We start from the raw sequence: 27,598 nt of genomic DNA, 5'->3' as shown, positions 1-27,598 counted from the left end.
GCTTCTTACAACCACGGTACAAAAGGTACAAAAAGGTACAAAAAGGTAGCACTTACAAGCTCCATACTGGTTTGGTTATTTAGACCCAAGGTTCTCCAGCAGGGGCAATTTTGATTCCTCGGCACATTTAGCAGTTTGGCAATGTCTACATACAGTGTTGATGGTCACGATTCATGGGTAGATGCTACTGGCATTTAGAGGGTAGAGGCCCAGGATGCTGCTTAACATCCTGCGGTACACAGGATGGCTCCCATAACAAACAATTATCTGGCCCAAAATATCAGCGGTGCTAGGTTGAGAAATCTTGGAAGACACTCCCCAGAGAGCACCCCTCCAAGGTGGGTTGCTATTCTTTCATCATTCTCTTTGATGACCTGCAGGTCAGCTCGAAGGCAGCAGAAATGGCCGGCCTTCAGGCCCACTCACGCCACCAAGGGCACGCCCTTTGCAAGGCAGAGGAGCAGCAGCACCAGCAGCATGGAGCTGGGGCGGGCTGGGTCTGGGCGATGTGAGGTGGGCACTTCTGTGCCTCACACCATTTCCATTCTCCGTTTACCTTTTCTGGGCCTTGTATCGCTGTTATCAAGTCCTCCCCAAGAAGCTGACGCAGCTAAACCTTTCAGTAGGTTCCCAACCAGCCCTGCCCCAAACTTGGTAAGTGGTGCCTCCAAGGAACAAGCACTTCTGTGCCCCTGCCCTCTGGGGGTATCTCTCAGCTATATTTGCCCCCACCCTCCCGCAGTTTACTAAGCTTACGTATTATAAGGACTCATCTAAAGACTGCCCAGCACCAAACAAGAGGAGGTAAAGTGCACATCAAAGTGCCCAGAGTGTTGTAACTGCTCTAAATTAGTTCCGTCTTTTCTCCAGCAAAGAAATAGTCTCACTAATTCAAATCATTTAAGAAATTGGCCAGGTGCAGTGGCTCATGCCTGTAATCCCAGCACTTTGGGAGGCTGAGAGGTGGATCTCCTGAGGTCAGGAGTTTGAGACCAGCCTGACCAACATGGTGAAACTCTGTCTCTACTAAAAATACAAAATTAGCCAGGTGTGGTGGCACATGCCTCTAATCCCAGCTACTTGTGAGGCTGAGGCAGGAGAATCACTTGAACCCAGGAGAAAAAGGTTGCAGTGAGCCGAGATTGTGCCATTGCACTCCAGCCTTGGCAACAAGAGCGAAACTCTGTCTCAAAAAAAAAAAAAAAAAAGAAACTTACCAGAGGGTCATGGAATCGTAAAATCTCAGGACTGAACAAGATTTAGAAGTTATGTAAATCACTTCTCTTTCAAAAAATCCCTTCTTCAACACCTGGGCCAGCTATTTAAAAATCCCAGAATATGAGGAAATTATGTGTGTGTGGCAGAAGGTTGTTTAATAGTTGTATGGAAAGAAAATGACTTTTTTTCTTTTTTATTAAAATATAATTATAGCATTCACTGAGCACTTACTATGTCCCAGGCACAGTCGTCCTTCCGTATCTAATCCCAGTATCTACGGGGAATTTGTTCCAGGACCTCCCTCAGAAACCAAACTCCTTATGCTCAAGTCCCTTATATAGCATGGTATATAGTATTTGCCTATAACCAACATACATCTTCCTGTATACTTTAGATCATCTCTAGATTATTCATAACTAATACAATGTAAATATTGTGTAAACAGCTGCTATATTGCATCTTATTTGTATTCTATTGTATTGTTAATTTTTTTTTCAAATATTTTCGTTCTGTTGTCAGCTGAATCCACAAATGAGGAACCTGCAGATACAGAGGGCTAACTGCACTTATAATCAATCCCCACAACTGCCCCATGAGGCAGGAGCCAGCAACTCTCCAGGCAGGCTGGCTCCAGAGCCCTGGTTCTCATCCACTATGCAATAATGCCTCACGCACAACATTTAAAAAAGTGTTTCTGCCAGACACAGTGGCTCACACCTATAATCCCAGCTTTGGGAGGCCGAGGTGGGCGGATCATGAGGTCAGGAGTTCAAGACCAGCCTGACCAACATGGTGAAACCCCGTCTCTACTAAAAATACAAAAATTAGCCGGGCATGGTGGCACGCACCTGTAACCCAGCTACTCAGGAGGCTGAGGCAGGAGAACTACTTGAACCTGGGAGGCGGAGGTTGCAGTGAGCCAAGATCATGCCACCGCACTCCAGCCTGGGCGACAGCGTTAAGACTCTGTCTCAAAAAAAAAAAAAAAAAAAAAAAAAAAGTGTTTCCATGATACAAGACTTAGAATTACCCACCATCTCACCATCCTAACTAACGCAAGTCCTTATTTTGTAAAGGGTCTGCTGCATTATTGGGTAACTCTCCATCTGTTGGGATGGTGTCTCCATCAAGACTAGACCTGTCTCTGTGGCCCACTATGGCTTGCACCACCTTCAGAGTATGCAGAATAGGTCTCCTCACTTCTCCATGTAAAGGCCCTCAGGTTCAAACACTTCTCACCATCCCCTCTTTGCAATGCTGTACAATGTGGTACAAGTGGGATCCAAGATCACACCTGAGGACCCCACCTCTAGGCAGCCTGGACATCACTTACCTACCAACACAACCCAGGACTCGAGGCAGCTGCAGCTCTGGCAGTCCAGGGAGGAAAGTGGAAAACAAAGTGAAAAAAGGACAAAAAGAACCAGCAGCCCTCCGTGGGAGGAACGTGGTGAGGCTGTCTCTGTGACATGACAGGGGTGGGAGACAGAAAGAAGGGCTCCTAACAATGGTCTCAAAATAAGCTTCTCAGGACCACAAATTCTACCAAAATGACCTTGGAGCCCCGAGAACCTAGGAACCAGAAATGGTTCTGAGTGTGAAGACCCAACCAGCTCAGCCTTTAGTTCCACAGGCTCAGAGATAAGTAAATTAGCTAACTACTGTCAATGAGAACTACTGAGACAAGAAACCCACCCTCAAGTGAGTGGCATTTACATCAGATTCTGATTCCCAGAAGGAGTAAATTATAAGGGAAATCCTAGTATGGTGCTCCTTCCTCCAGATGGAATTTTATAAGATGGTGTGTCTGCAATAACATTGCCATGCATCTGAATGGCACTTCATACTTTCTCTAAGCTCACTAGATCTTCACAGCAAACTATTAGGTAGGTGGGATGCTAGAGTTATCTCTAGCAAAGCCCAAGGCTCAGTGAGGTTAAGGGCTGCTAAGTGTCACCAGCCAGTAGTGGTGAGGTCCTCGGCTCTTTCTCTCCCACTCCAGCCAGGCAAGAGGGATTAAGATGCATAGCTACACCTTCTCCTGTCATATACTGAGATTCACTATCTTTTGTTGTTTGGTTTCTGATAAACAACTTGAAATTCTTAGAAGATGTATTAGAAAAAAAGGATGAGGTAGCTGGGCGCGTTGGCTCACACCTGTAATTCCCAGCACTTTGGGAGGCCAAGGCAGGTGGAATACCTGAGGTCAGAAGTAGTTTGAGACCAGTCTGACTAACATGGAGAAACCCCCATCTCTACTAAAAACACAAAATTAGCCAGGCGTGGTGGCGCATGTCTGTAATCCCAGCTACTCGGGAGGCTGAGGCAGGAGAATCGTTTGAACCCGGGAGGCAGAGGTTGCGGTGAGCCAAGGTGGTGCCTTTGCACTCCAGCCTGGGCAACAGGAGCAAAACTCTGTCTCAGATAAAAAAAAAGAAAAAAGAAAAAAAAAAGTATGAAATATTTAGAACTGAGAAACACATTTGCTTAATGGTTAAAAAAAAGGGCTGTGAATATCCTCTCCACCATCATCCTCTTCTAGAAGCATAACATCTACTTCTTTTCTTTTTAGGGAATGACTGTGATAAATACTGAAAGGCTGTAATGCGTCTATGTAATTTTTTAATTTATATTTTTAAATTAATTAACCAATGAATATATTAGAGAAGGAGTCTGTCACCCCAGCTAGAGTGTAGTGGTGTGATCACAGCTCACTGTAATTTTGGACTCCTGGGCTGAAGCAATCTTCCCACCTCAACCTCCAGAGTAACTAGGATTACAGGCATGCACCATCACACCTGGCTTTTTCATTTTTTTTTGTAGAAATAGGGTCTCATTAGATTGCCCAGGCTGACCTCAAACTCCTGGTCTCCAGTGATCCTCCCACCTTAGCCTCCCAAAGTGAATTACAGGTGTGGGCCACTGCACCCAGCCCCATATTTATTTACTCTAGAGAATTTGCTATAACTGAAAAAATGAACACTGTGTTAGCGTGAGTCAAGTTAGGATACAGAAATAGCTTTGATGAGCAGAAGGGCACTGCATGATGGAAATGATTGTACGGCATCTTTCTGCAATACCCTCAGCACAGAGTGCTAAACACAACTATATTCACCATATGCCACAGTTCTGGTTATGGAAAGGGATGGGAGCCAGGAATGAAGGAAAGCCTGAAGGCATGGAACATCTCCGGATGGAAAAAAAAGGAAACATAGAATCAGGAACTGTCAAAAGACCCTATTCATTGTTCCCCTAAAGACTGAATTTATACCTGGCTTAAGAGAAGGAATCTTTCTTTTACTTTTCAAGTAGTCTGAACCTGCACGTATAACCCAGTAATATTTTCTATCAGGCTCTTCAATTGTGCTAAGATAATGGCCTACCCCCTAAGTAAGAGACAGCAATCATGTAGTTTTTGCTTTGCACAGACATATAGTTAAGTTAGGTGTAGTCTTGGGTTCAAAGTAAGAAAGAAAGGAATTACAGGGATGGAAGTTAAGAAGAAATCAAAAGGGGAGGAAGCAATCATCCCATGAACATATCCCCACTATTTAAATCAATAATACTGTGTTAGCTGACTAATCTGAAATTGAGAGTATTAGTGAGCTCCAATATTACAAAGTGCATACTTTACCTAGAACTCTGTGTCTAAGATAAAGTCTCTTACCCTCAATGAACTAGAAATCTAGCTGGGGATACAAAATAAAAAGTTAAAAAATAACAAAAAGACATTACAAAGAAGTACAAGATCAGTTGCTAAGAGAATAATTTTGACAATCTATTTTTGCGTGTTTTGAACAAAGCTCACCACAATTTGGGTGGTTTCAGACCCCAACTGAACTCCCCTGCCTTGGGCCTCTCTCCGCATTCTAATCCACCTTAAACATCACTACCATAGCCATGTTCCTCAATCAGTGGTTTTTCAAAGTTGCAGCACTGCACCAAAACCTTCAACGGACCCCAGCTATCCAGAAGACAGTCCAAATCTCTGAACCTGGCATTTAAAGGTCCCAAACGGGCTCTCCTAAGGCATCAGCTTCATCTGGGAACTTCCCTGACATGCCGTCTTTTGTTCCAACCTAACAGGTCTTACTCTCATGCTCTGAACTCTCACCTTGCACACTGCTTTTTCCCATCTTTGCTTCTATCATTCTTCTAACCTAGAAGGCAGTTTTCTCTTACCCTTCCTTTAAGATCCAGCCAAGATTAGTTCTACCAAGAGGCCCTCTCCTATCAGATGTCAGCAATCATCATTTGATGGGATGTGGTCTCTCATCTTTTATTATACGTCTTGTGTCCTATCTCTTCAATTAACTTGCAGTTGGCTCAGAGGCAAAGGCTCAATCCTATTCATGTTTAGAGCTTTAGCATATACATGACATAAAGGAGGTGCACAATAAACATTTGTTCAATGAGTCAGCAAACCTCCAGTGTCCAACAACTAGGTTCTCGATAAATCTTATTGTTGGTGGTGGTCTCACTGAAATTGTTGAGGAGGGAAATTTCATATCACAAAGACAGGCCCTAGGCAGTTAAATGTTGTCATTGTATAGCACTAAAAATATATGACAGGTGAACTGCTTCTTGCAATTCCTCAATGTCTGAAATACGGATAAAAATGCAATTTTGTGGTGCTGTCATTCAGACTAAAATGGGTCCAGAGCCAAACTAAAATGTTTGACAAATTCTGTTTTTTGTTTGCTTGTTTTATCTTTGGGCAATTGCCACCACATACCTGTACGGTAAAGTGAAGTTGCAAAATACACAACGGTGTGATTAGGACATCATTGTAACATATTACAACATTATTTAAACATGACCCAATCAGGTCAATTGTCACAAGACTTAATTTGTTGCAACTTTAACAATTTATATATTAAAGTTTAATTCTTGAACTGTTTTAAAATAAAGAATAAAAAAGGATCTTAACTCAAAACAAAAGAATAGTGGTAGGGTGGAGTCCCCCTATATGCCTTAGCTTGAAAAAATAAATAAATCATTTCCCATGAGTAACATGCAAAATACACAGAGCAGGAAGCCGGAAACAGGCAGCTGGCTGTATTGATAACAGAGAATCCAACTGTTATCTTGAGGCAGCAACAGGAAGGAAACTAATCTTTTGACTGAAGTCCTCCCTGTGACGGACTAGTCTGAAGGCCTTAAATTCATGTTTGCTGATTTGTATAAAAATAGAATTTGAGTTACAATAGTTTCCTTAACTGTTTAACTTGCATCATGGACAAAACACATGTAAATATTTGCTCTAAATGCATGTGAAGCAAATATGCAATTGTCTGCTAGTAACTGTCTGATGGGCCGACTACAAAACCCACCATGAGCTCTCTATGACCTGGCACCTACAGGTTGCATCTGCTGGGCAGTCCCTCCTGCAGCTTCCAGAGGGCCTTTCTTCTGAGCGGCACAACCCCAGTTTGCCAATGTGGAGACCAAGGCACTGCAGGCACAACTTCTGAGAGGAGACCCACAATAACTGAGAAATGAGGCTCTGTCACCAGGGTCCTGCCTCTGTCACAGTCGTACGTCAAGGTGAGCCGCATAAAGTCACAATCCATAAGAAGCCAAGACTCTGGAGGGAGCTGAGGTTATGATGGGGGCTTTCTCCGAAAATAAGAGGCAAAGCAACACAACTACCTCTTCTAAGATGAGAGCTAAGGTGGGAACCAGTGTGAATTAATCAATAATAAGTTAATTGTACATTTAAAGATAACTAAGAGTATAATTGGATTGTTTGTAACACAAAAGATAAATGCTTGAGGGGATGGATATCCCATTCTCCACGATGTGATTATTAAGCATCACATACCTATATTAAAACATCACATACCCCATAAATATATACATCTACTATGTATCCACAAAAGTTAAAAATATTTTTTAAAAAACAAAACAAAAAAAACCAATAGTGTAAGGTGCCAAAACCAGGTGGAAAAAGCAAATGTAAAAAAACAGAATTAGGACCTTGTGATAAAATTCTCAGTAACTGTTCACTGTGTTTGACTAAAAATGGGTAGCATGCTTCCAAACTGCTTTCACATACAGGAAGTCATATCCTGAGCCCATTAACCTGCTACTCTCCATCTCTACAGGATGGGAACTGCAGTCAGGGTGACTGATCAGTTAGGGCAAAGGCTGAAGTAAGCCCAGGTGTGCACTAGTGATGCTGCATTAGGATCTTCACTCACTTTCCCTCCTTCATTACAGCCTGTGATTTCTAACTAACTGAGGTGGCTGAGGCACAGACTGGTTTTGGGATCCCCCCGAGGGCATGCTGCTAGCAAATAAACACCCAGAATTAGAGCCCACATTTATCTGAACCCTACAGAATCCCAAAGCACCTGAGGCACTCCATCCCACACAGGGAGTGTGGGATGGTATCTATTTAGTTCCAACCACCATCCCACACTGCCTGAGGAAAACAAGACATCACCTCCCCAAAACAAGAAGAAAAAACTCATAACCATCCATGTCTGGTCAGTTCCTTCAGACTGAGTTAAAAGATTAATATAAAATAGGAGTCAGCAAACTTCAGCCAGTAGCCTCTTTTTATGTAGCCTGGGAGACACACAGGTTTTACATTTTAAGAGGGTGGTTAAAAGGAGGAGGAAGAGGAAGGGGAGGAGGCTGATGATACCCCATAGAGACTCCATGTGGCCCACAAAGCCTAACAGTTATTATCTGGTCCTTTATAGAAAAAGTTTGGCATGTCCTGGTTTAAAACATTTCAATATAATAATACTGTTGATCCCACATCCCATTTGTTAGACTCCACTTCAAATTAAAATCAGCTTAGCAAATAGGTACTAAGTGCTTGCTATGAGCAAGGCACCACACTGGGTACTATTTTAAATTTTGCTATTGAATATGTTGCCAGGTTAATGCTCAGTAGCCACAAGCATTTTCTGGTAAGTGATATCCACATGTCAGGTCAGTCACAGGGTGAACTCGGGGCCCCTTCCACTCCCCAGCGGAGTGGGTATTTATCTGGTTACCTTCACTTACGGGATGGAGTGTGCCACCCCATTTGGCAGGAGGGACAAACTATGGTAATCACCACAGGCTAGACCTCAAGGCTGCACCCTCACCTTCAAAGGATGAGAAGGGTGGAACAGCTTGAGGCCTGATCTTCCAACTTTCCAGCCCTCCCCACAAGCTGAAGGCTCTTCAGCTCTTATTTTGATGGACACTTCATACACCATCACCTCTTCTCCTCCAGTCCTCCATGGAAGGGGACTTCAATCCAAGGTGGGCTGAGGGTAACTTGCAATGCCCTTAAAAGTTAGGAAAAACTTAGAACTAAATAGATACCATACACTTAATTACTAAACAACACAGAACGGCAGAACTTAACACAGAATGGCAGAACGTTAACACGAATACAGACTAAGTAGAAAAGAATGTTTTAAAGCGCACCAACCGTAACAGGCACACTCAAGACTTCATGAAAGTAGTATAATTGCAACATATGGAGAAGGGAGATGTCTGTGTGATATTCTTCCTAAGGAACATTAAAGAAGCAGTAAATATTACATTCTATACTAGTCTACCATGTGGCACACAAATTCACCAGTAAAGATAAAATCCTCTACTTCATTTTCAAGGGCTAAAGGTAGGCTTTTGTTGTAGGAGCCTTGGATAAAGCAGAGGTATTGAGAGAGAATTCAAATTTGTGATGTTTCTTATTTCATGCAATATACACAAAAAGTAGCCTTAATGTTCTACGGGGCGTGTAAGCTAGTCAGAGGTAGTTTATTAAAAAATCAAATAACATGCTCCCCGGCCCTTGCTTATTATGGTTTTCAATCTACTCCAGGTTTCCGGAATCCTTAAGGCCAAAATAATTAAGGGCAAAGAGGGAAAAATAGAACTCTTTCAAACACACCAGTCACATTATTTTCAGACATTCAAGATAGAAGAGGATTCTGCTCTACCTCAATGTTTTTGCACAGATGCCCACAGAAGCTGACGTCGCCAACAAGATAACAGTACCAATTCCAGCCGTTCTTGACAGTTTCCGACAGCTCTCCTATTTAATGAGGATGTCAAAGTTAACAGTAATTCATTGAATCCAAAAAGCTAAGGTCTGAGGGATATTTTTTCTTTTAAACCAGAAAGACACAAAGACCAGAAAGAGGGGGAGTCAAAAGACTTAAAGCCACCACACAGAGCTGTCTACTATGCATGCACAGTATAGCACTGACTAATCCCTGAATGAATTATGGAAGCTCCCATCTAAGATAAGCTAAGATACAGAAGTCCTCCAAATCAGACTATACAGAATGTATAAATTTATCTGCAAAGGATTAGCATTTTGGAATAAAGAAAGCCACAGCAATGCCAAGTTATCACTTGAAACTATAGAATTATGACAAGATTCCACTTAATGAGAAGAGGAATTATATTTAAAAATAAATGAACATAAATACAAAAGGATTTAAAAATTGGCTTCTGTTCTGAAGAACATTACACATGAGTCACCTAAACCCTTTTTGGCCAGTGACCATAACCCATTGTAGAAAAGTTCAGGGTTGAAACGACAGATTGATAAATTAAATACGACTGTCTCAATTCGAGTGCCAAACTCCACAATCACAGTTGTCTACGCAAGTAAGCCACGGACTACCAATGTGTGTTTGGGGAGGAGTGGGGTAAAGTCGTCTCCAAACCACACTTGGATTTCAGAAGTCACGAACAACTGTGACAAGATCAAAAAACAAAATGTATAATTTTATACTGACAAGCCCCTCCCTGATTTAGAAAATTCTGAAACTAAAGAATTTTAAAGTTTAGCACTATTTTCTAAGTGATATCATATCCCAATGTGTAACTCAAAATTTCACTTCTCACAGAGTATTCTTCATTCAGGAAGTAATTTATTGAATGATAGGCTGACCCAATCCACGGTTATATTTTCAACTCAGCCAACTATTCCACTGCCTGAAAAATTATTCCAGGCAGAACACTAATACCCAACATTCAGCCATAAAGGTCGCCTGTCATTTTTTCATCTTGGATTAGTCCACAGCAACCATTTATCGAGTAACTAATATAAGGACACTGGGAAGGACATCTAAAAGCATTAAGAGTTCTCTCTTTAAAAATGTAAGGAGTAATTTCTGACTCCATGAGAGCTCACAGCATTAGACAATTGATACTCAGCTACCATTCAATTATTTTAAAGATATCTTAACATGTAAAAGAGAAAGTTATTACACATAGGGTCAAACACTGAAAAACACTTCTGCTAATTTCCTTTGTGGCTTTCCTCAACCTCACACATAAAATGGTTATACAAGATTTCTTTCAAAGCCAAATACTACAGAGTTTTGGTGGACAAATCCTGTAAGTACCCAATGTACATTGCCTTGTTTTAATAGAGGAGGACAGAAAAACTGGAGGAAAAAATGACCTCAGATTCAACCCCAAGATGACTAGCCAACAGGCAGGGTAGCACCATAAGATCCCTCACACTCATCAGAAGAGGGCAGGGCAGTTGACAGTTCATAGAACACAAGAGTATTCTGTGTTGTTACTTTAAATCAAAACCTATTTTGCATTATAGGAACACTAACCAAAGCTTTAAACACACTTTTATACAAGACAATGTATGGTCTTGGTCATATTGAATCTTCTAAGCTTAAAACTGGTCATCTGTCTAAATTTAATTTTCTTCAAATGAAAAAGGAAAGTTTTGAACAAGAGGGCATAAATGGGGAGATCTGATTTTTCTGTTGTTCTATTAATTTTGGAAATGTAAACCTCTTGCAGTGTTGCTAAACTTAAATGTAAATCTCTTCCCATAAAACGGAATACAGATCTTTATAACATCCATGAATGCATCCACTTGCAAGCCTCCCACCCCACCTCTCCCTTGTCCCTACACGCAAGCCTTTATCTCCCACTCCAAAAAGTCAGGTGCTTCCAACAGGTGTGGGGACCTGGCTGTTTGTAGTTTTGTCAGTTTGGGTGTAAGGAGGGAGACAGTAAGCCAATATTGTCTTAGGTGTAGTCTTATTGTTCAGCTACCTTGACATAGCCTAGGAAGCTTCTTGCTCTTGCTGATTTGTTCTTCAGGGGCATTTTATTGTTTAATAATGACCTTGGCTGCTTCTCAACAGCCTCCATAAAGATAATAATCTTGGATCTGGGTGGGAAGGGCTGGAAACTTATAGATGTTCTGCTGGGGTGGCAGATAGCAGAGGATCCACTTTCAGGACTAGGTGGAAGTAGGGGAAAATAAACTATAACCCTATTCTATACAACATTTGAAAGACAAATCCTTTCACCTACTGAAGGTGTGGAGAAACTAGGACACTCACATGTGGTTGGTGAGAAGGTAAGTAGTGATATCAAAATTTATAGTATGTATTTCCTCCATCTACTAATCACATCTATAGATATTTGTTTTCTAGAAATATTTGTGCAAGAAAACGAAGATGTACAGAATGTGCACTACAGATTTAAAAAATAATTGTCAAAAAGAATAGCAACAGCAAAACAGAAAAGACTAGAAACTAAATATACATTAATAGGTTGAATAATTAAAATACGGGACATCCTTATAAAATAATATGTATGCATTAAAAAGAGTAAGGAAAACCTACAGCATACAGGCTTCGGAAAGTGGCCATATAATATTACTGAATGCAAGAGTCCCTTATAGAACAGTGTATAATATTCAGTATGATCCTACGAATGTATATGTTTAAATGTAAGTAACTGCATAAAAAGATATCGAAGGATATCTTCCAAACTATTAACCGTCTTCTCTCAAGGGAGTAGAAGCAGACAGGAGGCATTTCCACTTCTGTATTTCTATGAATACACTGCTGGTTTTCTGTTTTTGTTTTTTTAGGAGCACATATTAATTTTGAAAAATTTAAAGAGCGTTCCCATTAAAGGGGAAAATATGAAATGATTTTTTATTTGATAAGAGAATTGAGGTTCACCCGATGGGTCTGGGACTGATGAGTAGGAATAAAAAGAGCACTCACTGGAGGAAAACATACTCTTCTGGGGCATCACAAAAGGTCCTATGTGTACTGCTGCCTTCAATGAATATGCTAAAATAAAATGCCACCCTGAATTTTCATGTCTTTCTTCTGGGGCATACTAAATTGGTAGTTAACTTTATATAACATTTGTAAGCATAATACGGCAAACAAACATTAATACTTCCTTGTAATAGATGGAGACACTAAGGATATTAATTTTTAAAAAGTGACATTCACTGAAGAAACACTGGGGTCTACAGGATGCCAGGGGAGTAGTTTTCAAACCATGTTCCTAGCAAGGGATGCAGAAAGAGCAAAGCCCAGGGTCAGCCTCCAGGTATCTTCTCACCTACACTTTGGTCAGAAAAGCTCCCATTTCATACCCTTGATTTACTGGGGTTCCACCTCAGGTTTCATCTACAGGAAATGCAAATCCATTCTTAAAAAGGTTTTAAATTGCTCTACTAAGCAGTAGGAAATAAGGATAGACGCAGAAGCAGAAAGAGTTTACAGTTTACTGACACCAGCCTTATTAACAGGTAATTATACCGCATGGGAACAGATGGCAACAGAGAGGATCAAGCAAAGCACTGTGGGACCAACTGACCAGAGGTGAGTCAAGGGGTCAAAGCTTCAGAGCTGACAACTGAGTCCAGGGGACATCACCAAGCAGCGGCAGGAATAAGATCAGAGGCAAATGGGGGTTCATCCACCAGTGCTTCAGCTACGCAAGTGGGAAGGGCTCCAGCATGGTCCTAGATGACGGAGGAATTAAATTATCTTCTTCCATGTCCACCCCTATAGTCAGGGTTTACTGAGTGTTTACTAGGGCCAGGTACTCTTCTAAGCACTTCATTAAAACTCAATTCTCACAACTACTCTGTGAAGTAGGTACTCTTACCACCAAACATATTTTGTATAAGAGCAAATTCAAGCCTAGAAAAATTCAGTTATTTGCCCACAGTCACGAAGCAAGCACAGTCCCAGCAGTTTGACTTGATAGCCCCCACCACTCTACAGAGAGTTCTACATTAGCAAGGACCTTTGGCTCCAACTGATATGAAATGGGGTTCAAGCCTTAATGCTCAGTAAGATTCCCCCCAACCTAAATGGACCACACTGAATTAAATCTCTTAAGGTATCCTGCCACCTTAATTCCTGATAATTCCGAAATGGGAGTTTTACGTAATTCAGTGCAGAAGCCCTCATCAGAAAGAATCCTCCATATTTCTTTTTTTTTTTTTTTTTGAGACGGAGTCTTGCTCTGTCACCCAGGCTGGAGTGCAGTGGCATGATCTCGGCTCACTGCAAGCTCCGCCTCCTGGATTCACGCCATTCTCCTGCCTCAGCCTCCAGAGTAGCTGGGACTACAGGCGCCCGCCACTATGCCTGGCTAATCCTCCATATTTCTAAATGGAGGGTGCTTCTCTCCCCTGCCTGACACCTGGGAGGAGTGTAATTCATCTTGCACCTTCAAGGAGTCCCTGCTCTCAGGCACCACCAGACCAGAACCAAGATCGACACCTTCCTTTTTAAGTGTCACCTTTAACATCCCTTATGCTCTGGCATCACAACCCCCCAATAAAATGCTTTCTTAGACCCTGGAAGCTGAGTCAAGAAAACTAGTTTTGTAATGTTTTGCATTAATGTATTTGAGCAAAGTGATGAAATAATTTATCACTGCCATGTTTTTAAAAAGCATCAGTGTCAGCTGAAGGCTTTGAGCAAGTTCAAGTTACACATAACCAGACTTCCAGATGTATTTTTTTCTCTACCTTGGTTTCCAGAGCTAGCGTATTCTCGGTGCTGATAATTTACAGGTACCCCATGCACCAAACCACAGAGCAGCATGTCTGCAGCTACAGAAGAATGAAGTGCCTGTTGTCTCGCAAAGTTCTTCAGTAGGATTTGGAGGCAAGTAGAGCCATTAATTAATAAAAAGCATAGCTTGTGGTAATTAGCAGCAGCAACAAAAATGTTTAGCGGAGCTTCCTCTTTTTATCTTGAGGCAGTTCCTACAGACAGATGCTTAGGATTAATGAAGTTTAATGAGACCTGCAGCAGCTGGCTAATTAGTCAGTGAGGAGGAAGTAGTAATGACAAGAGAAAAAGGCTTTTACTCTTGTTTATTAGCTCAGGTTTGGGACAGTTTTCTTAAACTGTGGGCTGTACCTTCAACCTCAAAGTGGTCCCAGAGCAAATAAAAGTTTCAAAAAAAAAAAAAAAAAAAAAAAGGGCAAAGAAACCAAAGCATGAAGGCTAAATGCTGAGCTTCCCAAGGGTCGGCTTGCCTGCCTAGGAGGAGTGAGCAAAGCAGCCCAGAGGCAGTGGAAGTTCAATGTCAGCCATGATTCCCTGGAAAGCAGCAGCAAATGCTGTCAGCATCAAAAGGATACCCATGTCCTGGGTAAGTGGGACAGTCAACATCTTGTGTCTCACGGACGACCCTATGGAGAATCCTCAATTTAGAGCATCCCCTCCTCCTCAATTCTAAGCAAATGAAAAGGGTTTTTACTAATGAGAAGTACTTGATGATTATGCACAACCCCTTTGTTGTCCATTCTACACTTGTATTATCATTAAATTTGTTATGTATTAGCTTTCAATATAGCCATTCCACAATGCACGTGTATTTCAAAACATGTTGTATGAGATTATATATAAAAATATATAAAGTGTGTGTGTATATATTTATATATTTTTTCTTTTTTTTTAAGACTAAGTCTTGCTCTTTTGCCCAGGCTGGAGTGCAGTGGCGTGATCGTGGCTCACTGCAACCTCCACCACCCGGACTCAAGCGACTCTCGTGCCTCAGCCACCCAAGTAGCTGGGATTACACGTGTGTGCCACTATGCATGGCTAATTTTTGTATTTTTAGTAGAGACAGGGTTTCAACATGTTGCCCAGGCTGGTTTCAAACTCCTGACCTCAAGTGATCAGTCCGCCTCAGCCTCCCAAAATGCTGGAATTACAGGGATGAGCTAGTGCACCCGGCCTATAATTTTTATTTATAATTTTTATTAAAAAATAAAGTTTTTACAAATTTTTGGTTATGTGTGTCTCTCATATTGGCTCCCCCAGGCCTGTACTTTTGGAAGTATACAGTAGAAACCCTAACCCTTTCAGAATTAACTAGTTACCAGCAGTAAGTTTCCCATTCTATCAATAAACAATGCAAGAGAGAAGATTTTGGAGATTTTTTTTTTTTTTTGGTTAAAGTGTGAGAATATGAATACACTTGGATTATAATCCATCCTCCAACACACACACAAATAAGCAGCTAATGGCAATACTAGTGGTCTTCCCAATTCACAAGACCTGTGCTTCAAATTGTTTTCCTGATAATGTGGAGAAATGTGCTCTTTATGTATTCTCAAGAAACAGGATGTGAAAAGCTGGTATGGGTATACAAGATAAAAATGCCTACCCAGAGTGGGCAGAAGCCTCTAAATATTACTGGTTTGCTAAAAGTTTCAGATGCTTTTTAGTTCTACATATGTTAGTTCTACCTTTAACCTCTCTACCACTCAACGAACCATCAAGAAACAAAATCTACTCCCTATGTAACAGTAAAGTCACCCCAGACTAACCTTCAAAAGGGGTTTTACTTTAAAGAAACAGCTTCACAGCCACTGCTGTCATAGAGAATATTCTCAGGTTCCGTGTGGCCGGAAGCTTGAATTTTTTCAGTGCTGGCTTCCTTCTCCAGTGGGGCCAGAGGCTGTCAGAGCCAGCCCGGAAATCTCTCTCATATATGGCTTTAACGTAAATGAAAATATTCCCCTGTTAATTATTTACATAAAGAAGGTCATACAGGTCTGTCCTAGCAACACCAGAGAGCCGTTCTCACCAGCAGCTTTTACCCTCAGAAAGGAGAGAAGAAACACCCATTCAAGTTCAGCACAGAGGTTTGGGTTTATAACCTGTTTCCAAAGTCAATACAGTTAACTGCTGTGGGCTATTTGCTTTCAGAGTTTTAGGATCTCTCTCTCTCACTATACTTTCTGGCAAAGCCTGACAAACAATAGAGTCATTTTAGTCTTAATGCATTGGCTAAAACTGGTTCCTACATTCTCATCAATTCTCCTAAGACTTACATTTTACCTAAATCCAAAGGTCAACAGGAGTTCTCGGGACTTACAAAGGTACTTTTCAGAACTCCATGCAGCAATATATCTTCCCAGTTCAAAAGCAGGGCCAAACAGCAATGCTGGGCTCCCTTAATATGCCAATGTGCTTCAGCTCAGTGAGGATCTGGTCTGTCCACAGTTCAGGTATTAAGAGAGCTATATAGCACGTGCGCTAATGCTACCAATACAGAGACGAACTACCCCTCATTGGGGGCCACGGTCCCTATGGGTGAGTGTGAAAGATGGGGAGTTTAGGTGTTTTCAGAAACTTCTGGTTTGTGGTACTGTATGATTTCCCCAAATAATGGTCACACATGAGCAGAGAATCAGTCCCAAAAAATGGTAGTTGATAACCTGGCACTGTATTCGATCTCTGGGTGACATTCTCATACCTGAGGGATGCCTCAGGTCAAACGGAAGCTGTTATACTTCATTCTATGTGCCGTCAAAGCTCCTTCTATGAGCTAAGAACACTGCAACTGAAAGTAAAGGTAAAAGAGGTCATGAGCTAGAGAAACTCCTAGGAAGCTTTATTCTGAAAAGAACAAAATGGGAATATATAATATATATTAGGTTGGTGCAGAAGTAATTGTAGTTTTGTCATTACTTTTAATTGCAAAAGCCACAATTACTTTTGCACCAGCCTAATACATTCATACCAGAGGGCTTCTCTATAGCACCCTCAAAAGAAAATTTCTTGGGAAAAATGGTGACATGGCACCTTTCAGTCTAGCAGTGTTAGGCATTCCTAAGAAAGATACTCAGATTTCTCCTGGACAGAGAGGGCATAGAAGAGAACAAACCCAGCATTCACCAACCCAACAATCCTATTAGGAATCTTATGATTCTGGACTCTTGAAGTGGCAGAAGTAGCATCATACACACACACATCAGAATTATCATCACACACACACACACACACACACACACACCCCATCAGAAGACACTTGCCTAGGCCAAATTAAATCATTTCTGGAAGTGGGCAGGGTATAAATAATAAATATAAATAACTTGCCTCACTGATGCCAAATATAGATCATAATGAATGGGAACAAAATCAAGTTTGTGGTTTTAGGATACAAGTAAGGCTGAACACGTAAGGATGAACTCTTAGAAACAGTTTTTATATCTGCTATGGGGAAACTCAAAAGGTGGCCTGAAAACACAATGCAAATCGCAGCTGGAAGTCTTCACTTATACTTGGCAGCAGCAGCAGCAGCAGCAGCTAACCGGAAACAGGGATTATCCATTTTATTCACACAGGGACATCACAGAACAAAAGGCTAACACTTAGCCCAAAAACACCAACAAACACTCAACCAGTCGAAAATATTTAAAGTCAAGAAAAATCAGCAATCTCCAATAATCTGAACTTCAGATGTGGTTTCCTGGCCTAACTCCATGTTTCTGGGTAATGCCATCACCTTTGAACATTGCTCCAAGGTTATTCTCTGTGTAGCAAATGCTCAACGATGCAGCAGTGAACACTGTACTTTTAAATCCAAGATTCTACTTCAGTGCCAGTACAGTTTATTCCAGGTTCTCACGGGTACATTACAAATAATTTCATATACTGGGAAAATACAGATCAAGAGAGTCTGTACTGTCAGCTGAGTCCTTTATAGTCTGGAATCTCCAAAGTACCATCAAAGAAAAGGGAATAAAGTCCTCCAAGATAAGGCAAGGCTTGAATTTTACATGGCATTCACCATGCTGCTCCTTGTTACCATCACCAATGAAGAGTGAGAGTCTCAGCAAATCCTTTAAGATTGAAAAAAGGATCAGGAATTTCTACCTCTCAACAACTGCTTTCACTAAATCAAGGTTGCCCAGGGTCCTAACAAAATCCTAATGTGGGATCTACAAAAGCACCAGGTGAAAAATGCTCAACAGGCAGCACAGCAAGATGGTTAAAAATTGAGTCCCAAAGCGCACTGCGTGGGTTGGAATCCTGGCTCCATTTACTAGTTAAGTGTCCTTGGGCACAGCTTCCTTTGTGCCTCAGTTTCCTCATCTTCAAAATGGAAATAACACATCACACAAGGACGCTATGAGGAGCATATGAATCAATACTGCAAAGTACTTAGGACAATGCCTGCACAAGGGGAGTATCAAGAAGTTTTGGTGGCTATTACCATTATCAGTACCACCACCAATACAGGGCTAGACTTTAGGTAGGGACCTACTTTCCTTCTCTCTTTGCATGAGAATCCATATACCTTTTCTTTTGCTTTCCCTCTCCTTTGTAGCTTGTTAGGTTTCCCACAGGACTGATTTTGTGAGCTCAAAGCATGAGAAGCCAAAAATGCTTAATGTTTTGGCAGTGGGCATCTACCCAGAAGAGCCTTGGGGGAGCACATTCGGTAAAATGAAAGTGACCAGAGTAAACGGCCATGCATTTATTTGCAGGGGCCTTCAAATCTGTATCAGACAATCTACAACCCTAACAGGTTAGAGAACTGAAATGCAAGTCACTTGTCCAAGGTCATTTAACCAACATCAGCTGCTAAGCAGCACCTGATTCCCGGGACCTGTGCCAAGATTAGCTGGCTGTTGGCTAACAAAAAGGAGGCAAAACCCCCAACTAATAATAAGCATTAACAAATGAAATGGAAGGGGAAAAAAAACTTGCATGATGTCCCAAGTAGAATTCTAGCCATTCCCCAACATCCTCCATGGTTTCATGACTCCCTCTGTACACCCCTACCCCCAAGCACCCATCATCTCATAATCTAATCCAGGTCATATTTAAAAACTTGCAATCAATGTCAATTCCTCCAAAATGCTTCCCCCACATCCCAGGACCAAGGAATGATATTTGCATGTTTGGGATCACTTACCTAGTATTCCCTTTCAGAATGTAATTTGAGACCGTGGCTGTCCCTTACACACCTGTGTTTCCAGTGTGCTCAGCACTGTAAGCTGCTCACCTTGACACCCACTTGCTGGCTGAATATTGATTGAACAGGTGGATGGATTTGATGGCTCCCTCAGTGATCTTCAAGCTAAAAATGGGTTCTAAAAAGTCATCCTGCCTTCTTCCACGGCACTTATTCTTGGCTAATTAAGAGGTACATGCTACTCCATTCTCACAGCCAGGCAGCTGTGGCGCATCAACTAGAGCGTATAAGCAACGGCCTTCCAGGATTTGTCAGTTGAGTTTTGAGTACAAGTTCTAGAAAGTACTACTTCTTCAAAGTATAGAGTAAAAAAAAAATTGAAGTAACAGAGCCAACAGCTGTTTTCCTGGACCTACACATACCTGACATCAACGTTCCAGCTTTAAGTTATTAATTAGGCCAAAGCAATAGCAGAAAGAAGAGCTGAAGGCCGGGCGCGGTGGCTCACACCTGTAATCCCAACACTTTGGGAGGCCGAGGTGGGTGGATCACCTGAGGTTAGGAGTTTAAGACTAGCCTGGCCAACATGGTAAAACCCTGTCTCTACTAAAATACAAACATTAGCCGGGAGTGGTGGCAGGCACCCGTAATCCCAGCTACTGGGGAGGCTGAGGCAGGAGAAACGCTTGAACCCAGGAGGCAGAGGTTGCAGTGAGCCGAGATCGCACCATTGCACTCCAGCCTGGGAGACACAGCCAGACTGTCTCTCAAAAAAAAAAAAAAAAAGCTGGATCTGAGTGACAAAAGGAAAAAAACACAGACCATTACCATCATCCACCTCTCTCCCTATCCCTGCTACCATAACCTAAACTGTACCAAAGTCTGGGCCCTGCTTTAACCACTCATCCAACCATGTTTCTCGTACTACAGGTTAATTCCTGTCTCAGGAGAAAAGACCAGGTTCCCATGACTGCCTAGGCAGAGGCATGTTGAGACCCAGCCTCTCAAATGTCTGTACACATTTCTCCTCTCCTTTTGGTTGAGAAGTTTGTGGACAGATTCAAAGGAGTTCCCGATACATCGAAACTGAGCCTTCACGCCACTGAGTCACTGCTTAATTGCATCATAACAGATGTTCAGCTGCAGGTATTTCATCCAGCAGCTAAAAATCCAGAGCCTTTGCAATTGCTACCAGTGGGTCTACATCCACGTCTCTGTGTACAAAAGAATCCTGATATGTCAACGCTCAATATCACCTGAATTTAAGCTATGGCTCAAGTTAAATGCCCTTAGGCAATTTTACCTTAGTTACTTTTACCAAATACCGTATCCACAAGTGGGTGGACGTCAGTTTTGTCCTTCGAGATATGCAGATGCATTACTCATCCCTCCAATGTTACGCTCTTGCAACATCAATGATAAGCAAATTAGCAGACTGTTATCTTTTTAATGGAAGAATTTACTCATCAATAGCAAAAGCTTTATCAGAAATTGACATTATTGAATCCTCTGGAGTTGCAGAAAAGAAAATAAAAAGAAATTGATATTGGGAAAACCTGACTGGTTTCTTTCAGCTGTGTATTGTATTGCTAGGTTAGGTGTGACACTTAACACCTGTGAATGTGGCTGAATCTCCAAGAATGATCAAATACACAACGCTCTGGATTTAAAACAAAACAAAAAAAACCTCAAAATCTACCCATGTGCTGATGGATGTATACACTATGCCTTCCTACGTGTCTCCACCTATTTAGACGAAGCACACGCCTTGAATTCACAGAAATGTTGAAAACGGCCCCCTCTTGCTGCAGAAGTTCACCATCACCCATTTTCTTACTTGCTGGCTAAATGAGGCTGCCACCTCAAGTCATCTTTCTGGTCCTCAGGTTCCTCAATCCACAAAGCAGTTATGATACCACCTAGCACACAGGGTGACTGAAGGGATAAATAATATGTTCATGAAGGTACCTGGTTTATGCCTGGTTCATGCTGGAAAGCCCCCACACACTTTTTCAAAAAGTCATGTTTGATGCAGGAGAAAGAAGTCAGTGGTTTAACTAACTACATCACAGGCATCAGTAGACACATGAGCAAAGTGGTGGAAGGGTGTGACCTGCAATTCCAAACCAGACTGCACTGATCGAGCTCTCATGGGATCACTGATTCCCCACGTGCCTGACATGAGCATGACCCATTCTAAACACAGGCCTGCACCCTGTGACTCAAGTGCTGCAGCTTATCAGCAACTGATGGGCTTTCTGACCCTGGGTGAGAAGACCTGACCTCCAAAGGCAGGAGGAAGGAAACCACATGATAAAAATCATCACTCTGAGGGGAGGATGCTTTCTGCGCAGCTAGGGCTAAGGAAGTTGTTTCAAAACAGACTCAAGAAACGTGTAGGCTGCTGCTAGGAGACTTGGGTCCAACTGCTCCCTCCAGATCCTGCCACACCTAAATGATCCCAAGAAGATAACTATCTCGGAGAAGCAGTGTGAGGTAATGGTTTAATGCTAGGGCGTGGTCAACAGCCAGGTGCAAAGGCCGGCTCCGCCACACTAATAACTGTATGGCATTCTCTCCAAGCCTTGCTTTCCTCATCTGTAAACAGAGATAACGCCTGACCCTATCTCTAGCATTCTTCTGATTGTGAAATTAGATAATGTATGTCATAAATAGCACAGTCTGGTACATAAGTGTCCAATAAATGTTGGCTATTGTTACTGGAAAGGTGTCTGTTTCCTTCATTAGACCAGTTGAGGGGACCTGAGAACAAAGACAACCCCAACATTTGTGTCCCCCCACAAAAATTTCTTAGATTTAATTATGAGTTTGTATTTTCCATACGGGGTTCATGCACATTATTCTAACTGATTCTCACAGCAACCCCAGAGGAGAAGGGAGGGCTGGTGTTCTGTTTTGCAGGTGTACAAAGCACCCCCCTCCCATAAATACATCCATTCAAATCCCATTAGAAAAACAGGATCCGTTTTCCTGTCTCTTGACTTGTTTGTGAGCTTCCTGAGGGCAGAGATAGAAATTACACCCCTGTGGCCCTAGTGCCTGAGCAAAGAGCCGCAGGCAGAGGCCCTCCATAAGGCTGAATATTAAAAAGGGGTTGAGTCATACTAAGAATCATAATTATTCTAATGACCATGTCTCCTAGTAGTCCAAAAGGAGTTCTGTTTCTAACGCAGAAAACCTTAGCAAATGAGTTACACTGTGAATTCCCGCTGAGGGAGGAGGAACAAAGACAGAGGATCCCAAATCAACTGCTGAATCACCGAGTCAGGGGTCCCCAACCCCCAGGTCACAGACCGGTATTGGTCCTGGCCCGTGACCTATTAGGAACCGGCCACACAGCAGGAGGTGAGTGGTGGATGGGAAGCATTACTGCCTGAGCTCTGCCTCCTGTCAGATCAGCAGCAGCATTCTCACAGGAGCCAAACCCTATCATGAACTGTGCATGCAAAGGATCTAGGTTACCACTCCTTAATAAGAATCTAATGCCTGATGATCTGAGGTGGAAGAGTTTCATCACGAAACCAACTCCCCATTTCCTCCACCCTATCTGTGGAAAAATTGTCTTCTACAAAACCAGTCCCTGGTGCCAAAAAGGCTGGGGACCGCTTTACTAAGTGACCTGTGCATCACTTTCCTCTTCCAGAAACATGGAGCAGAACAGCTACTCCTTATAAGCAAAGAGGGAGCAAAGATCAATGACATAATTCACATCTGCAGACAACTATGAGCTCACAGGAAACTGAGGTAAGAAAGGTCATTTCAGAGTCATTTAATGACAACAATGGCTGAGATGAGTATCTGGTGGGGTCTGGGCCCGCCTTCTCATCTGATTCCCAGCACGCTGTGGCAAACACAAAGGCAGTCAGCTTCTAGAGCCCCTTCCCACTCACACTGCTCCTGGGCCGTGGGTCACACTGCTCTAGTGCCCTTCCCTCAACTCCAGCCCTCTCCCTTTCCAAAAACCCATCTGAATTTACTACCCTGATAAAGACTGCAAGTGTATGGTTCTGTAGCCAAGAACTCCTAGTCAAACTGGCTACAGTCAAGCCCACTGCTGAACGAGTATGACTTTTAAAAATTGCTTCCTTGTGTTTCAAGTGAAAAAAATAACATCCCACCTCCAAATTGAAATCATATATGTATATTTGTAGAGGAAAAACAAAGATTTTTTGTAAAGGGGGGCAGAGATTGGGAGGCACAAAGGGCTGGGAAAGTAGTTCATGGGCCAAAAGCAGTTTTCTTTCAGATATGTCTTCAGTTTAAAAGACCAAGTTTGCACATTCGTGTGCTATCTAAGTTTCTGAAGCCCAGCCTCTATTTGCTCAGAGTGTGATTTAACTGCCTGGCTTCTAGCAAAGCATTACTCACACTGTTATCTCTGTAAACAAAGACACTCGCGGTTAGAAAAGCTGTGTTCGTTTTATGGTCACACAACATAAAAATCTGAATAAGCTGCCACACCTAGAAGAATGGATAGATTTCAATTTCCCAGGGTACATTTTTAACATTTTTTTGCTATGTAACCTGATTACATTAGTGTAAATGCATCTTAAAACTTTATCCTGGTCCAAATATTCTTGCCCCATCTCATTCAAAAGAAAGGGGGGAAAAAGACAATGTGATGTCTAATTTCTAGGGGAACTGTTTCTGTCTCCCTAAGTACCTTAGTACCGTGGCTTCCCTCTCCTCTCCTCTTCTCCTCACCAAAGTTTAGTAAATTCCCCAGCACCCAGCAGAGTCCTAGGGAGTATGTGAGAGTCCAACCACAAGAGTTCCCTAAATTTGAGCTTTAAGGGGATGAGGGGAGGTTGTCACTAGGGTCATATTAAACTTCATTTTATCAAAAAAAGTAGATAGGCCCAGCCTAAGCCCTTCCTGGAGTTTTAGTTTAGCCACATCATGGACAAAATTATTTTCATGATGTATTCTTTCATTCAAGACATCATTTATTAAGTGGCTCTTTTCTCAGGGAAGAGGCCCCTGGAAGGAAAACCAGCTAAATCACTTTAAAACATATGCATTACTGCTTATATTACTTTACCTACTCATTCATCCCTTTATTCATGAAACATTTATTTGTATGCCATCCCTAAGAAGGAATACAGAGATACACGCAAACACACTAACACACTATCCTCCTGGGAGTTCACAAATACCCACTGAGTATCAGGTACACAGTAATAGGCAGCCAGCTTCCAGAAGCCCTTTATTTATAGATATGTGTGTGTGTGTGTGTGTGTGTGTATGTGTGTGTGTGTGTGTGTGTGTGTGTGTACATACAATTAGGGAACAGTAATAGGTATCTTCATATATAACTGGGGGACTCACCACCCAGTGTGCCTGGGACTGAGGAAGATTCCCCGGATGTGGAATGTTTGGCACTAAAACCGGAAAACTCCCTGGCAAACGGTGAACTCGTCATCCTCTTAATACAATTATAACATACCTAATTAGGCTTTACAATCACCCCAAGGGCTATTTATTCTTTCCCCCTGAAGAAAATGAGGCTCAGTGAAGTCACTGGTAGAGCTAGGATTTGACTGTTGGTTTATGCAAATCCACGGCCCATGTGTTTCCCACCACCCTTGTTTCTGAAATGAGAGAGAAAACGTCCCACAGCCCTTGACAGGCACGCCAAACCACCACTACAATGTTCTGAGCCACTTCCCTTCCACTGCTCTCCTGACCACCCCCACCACTCTTCACCGCAGACTTCCCACAGCCAGGATTTCATCTGCTTGGCAGTTGTTTGCAGATAGTGTGTAATCTCTCTGTCATTGCAAGACTGAATTGTACAGCAAGTCGTTTAAACCTTTATAGGAATAAACGTCTCCCTCAACAGAAATCAGGGCACCATTTTCAAGCACAAGAAACACACTTTGCACTAGACTTTATTCACATCTCAAATACTATACACTCAAGCTAGCAATCTATAGGAACTCACTGGGATTTAAGAGTTCAACAGACTAGACTTTCAAAGACACGGTAAACTTTAAAGCAGGCCTTCAAAGAATAAAGATAAAAATAAAATAGACCTTCGAAATTTATCTTACTTAAGAAACATAATTCAAAATGTTAAGGTCACATTCCAACAGAATGTTTGGTCTTCTACAATCTTAGCTGTAACCACTGTTGGCACGCCAATTCCACCAAAATCATGTCTATGGTTTGTAGAGAGTTTCAGGCAACATGCACACACACACCTGCAACCAGTCAGTGCTTAAAACAATAGCTCTCACTCCAAAATTCTATCACAGTTGCACTCTTGGTGGAGGGAGGGGGATTCAGCCAAATAAAGATACCACCTATGTAATTTCCTTGCCACCAGCGTAGAACAGAGCCTCCAGACTTTGTATTTATGTTTTGCTCACATTCTTCATGAATAAAGCGTGCCTCAGTGATCCTCAAATTAACTTTCCACTTGCATAATTTCAGCATTAAAAAGGGACTTTAAGGCCAGATCTTTCACAAGGCCTTTGTGAAACCAAATATAGGCCAGCCTGTGTCTCCATGCTACTGTGATTACTGTATTTGCTACTTAAAGGTCTTGTGCCTCTTGAAAATGGGGTTGGGGGAGAGAGAAAGGCTAAGAAGGGCCTTTCAAAGGCAAACACAGTAGAGGCATTCAACACACCCATGGGGGGCAGTTAATATGAGTCTGGCTACAGGAGCGCTCTCTGACAAAGGCGGCTCTCTGACCAAGTGCTGGATGCTCGCTGGCTGCAGCAATAGCTGCTCCAGAGGCTTTTATGAACTTGAGAGAGGAACCAGCATTGTGACCTTCAAACTACATCAAAAGTCACCAGGCCCAAGTGACTGAACCTTCTAATCTTTCTAAAGGGGGGGGGGAATGGTTTCAGTTGGGTGCATTTTCAGGCAAACTAAACACTCTCCCAACATGCTAAAGGAAACCACACCCAGAACAGGTTTGGGGGTGGGGGTGGGAGTTGAGGCACTCAAGTTTACAAGGCTCACCCTGCTGGGCCCTGCCTTGCCATTTAACTAGGATCTGTAATAATCCTATGAGCCCTTATTATGTACCAGGGACTGTGCCAAACACAGTTTCCACACAGAATCTCACCTAATTCTTACAACAATCTCATTACACAGAATTTGTATGACCTTCATCCCATAGATGAGAAGCAGGCTCTCAGACTGGTAAGTAATTGTCTGATTTGGAAAGTGAATTGCCAATATTTGGTAAGAGGCACAGAAATAACCACATATGAAAAGCTTAAGATGATGTTAAGTAAAAAATAAAAAGCCAAGACAAAACTCGTCTATATTAACACTTCTAAACTGCACGTGTGTGTATATGTGTGTGCTTATATATATTAACTATTGGAAAGTTAAAATTTGTAGGACTTGTGGGATCTTACGTGAACTATTCTTTCACTTTTCTTTCTTTTCAGGGCGTCAATACTGCTGTGACATAATAAATATATAAAAAGTATCTAGAGTAACAGGAAGGAACAGCTAGAAATTTAACTTAGTCCATTAATAACCTTCAACCCTGCCTTTGAAAGAACAACCCCCAGTCCCCTCTCCAGTACTGCTGCTTTCAACTGGCCACAACCCTTCCATCAGGACGGTTCTGGAGTGTTGCCAGCCAAGAACTGAATTCCCTTATCTCCCCCACCCCGTTCCTTTCTTCTTCCCAGGGGTAAAAACTTCCGGCCAACAAGTTTCAGCAGGTGTTTTTTCTCCCCTACCCAATCAATAACCAGTAATTTTAAAGTTTCACCTACAAACTCAGAGGAAATGAGCACTTACCATGTAACAGATATTTCACATACTTCAAATCCACTATTAGCGCTAAAACCTGAAGGCACCACTAGGTAAGTTTGATGTGCATGAAACTAGACTGAAGTCTAACCAACTGCAAGAACAGGAACGTTCATTTAATATAGGATCATTCTACTAAGATGAAGTGTGGCTGAAGAAGAGTATTTGTGCTTTGTTTCTGAAAAAAATAGTTTTAAAGTATTTAAAAGGTTTAAGTCATAAAACAGGTATGGACTCATAAATTTCTACTTCCCAGGACATCATGCTGAAATTCTGGAATAATTTAGAGAAACTGACCCAGGGTATTTTTGTGATTCTCCATTAATATCAATGGGTAAATATGAAAAGAAACTGTTTTTTTACCTCACAAATTTCTAGAACTGCAGGACTAGCAAATAGGAAAATCCCAGCCAAATTCTATAAAAGACTTACTTCTAAAGCTCAGAATTAGTTAACTATGTTTTAAAGCCCTGTAATCTTCTAGAGCAATACTAAACTTCCTTTAATTAACTATTATACTCAAGATTATTTTTATATTTAGTTAAAATAATCCAGTTTATTCAAAAAAACCAAAAACTCCTCCATTTAATGA

At 41.9% G+C, this 27,598-nt stretch overlaps 1 protein-coding gene and 1 long non-coding RNA gene across 14 annotated transcripts in view, besides 5 other annotated features; one reads left to right on the top strand and one right to left on the bottom strand.

Annotated features, from left to right (window-relative positions):
• SPTBN1 (spectrin beta, non-erythrocytic 1) overlaps window positions 1-27,598 on the bottom strand; it is a 215,120-nt gene that overhangs the window by 75,405 nt on the left and 112,117 nt on the right. The gene's annotated exons all lie outside the window — the stretch shown is intronic.
• Window positions 6,378-6,427: an enhancer, noted in NCBI's record as "active region_15763". NCBI's record gives its function as "activates an Ori minimal core promoter by ATAC-STARR-seq in GM12878 lymphoblastoid cells {active_cell/tissue: GM12878}" and the evidence as "EXISTENCE:reporter gene assay evidence [ECO:0000049][PMID:35858748]".
• Window positions 6,608-14,464, top strand: LOC124906008 (uncharacterized). Its single transcript, XR_007086322.1, has 3 exons — window positions 6,608-11,572; window positions 12,770-12,842; window positions 14,051-14,464. It is a non-coding gene; the product is annotated as an uncharacterized LOC124906008 (long non-coding RNA).
• Window positions 15,753-15,802: an enhancer, noted in NCBI's record as "active region_15762". NCBI's record gives its function as "activates an Ori minimal core promoter by ATAC-STARR-seq in GM12878 lymphoblastoid cells {active_cell/tissue: GM12878}" and the evidence as "EXISTENCE:reporter gene assay evidence [ECO:0000049][PMID:35858748]".
• Window positions 16,802-16,851: an enhancer, noted in NCBI's record as "active region_15761". NCBI's record gives its function as "activates an Ori minimal core promoter by ATAC-STARR-seq in GM12878 lymphoblastoid cells {active_cell/tissue: GM12878}" and the evidence as "EXISTENCE:reporter gene assay evidence [ECO:0000049][PMID:35858748]".
• Window positions 21,255-21,314: a silencer, noted in NCBI's record as "silent region_11489". NCBI's record gives its function as "represses an Ori minimal core promoter by ATAC-STARR-seq in GM12878 lymphoblastoid cells {active_cell/tissue: GM12878}" and the evidence as "EXISTENCE:reporter gene assay evidence [ECO:0000049][PMID:35858748]".
• Window positions 21,385-21,544: a silencer, noted in NCBI's record as "silent region_11488". NCBI's record gives its function as "represses an Ori minimal core promoter by ATAC-STARR-seq in GM12878 lymphoblastoid cells {active_cell/tissue: GM12878}" and the evidence as "EXISTENCE:reporter gene assay evidence [ECO:0000049][PMID:35858748]".

The sequence above is a fragment of the Homo sapiens genome, chromosome 2 (assembly GCF_000001405.40).
Source record: "Homo sapiens chromosome 2, GRCh38.p14 Primary Assembly".
Lineage (NCBI taxonomy): Eukaryota > Metazoa > Chordata > Mammalia > Primates > Hominidae > Homo > Homo sapiens.
Note: the sequence above shows the minus strand (reverse complement) of the source record. Positions and strands in the feature narration are given on the sequence as shown.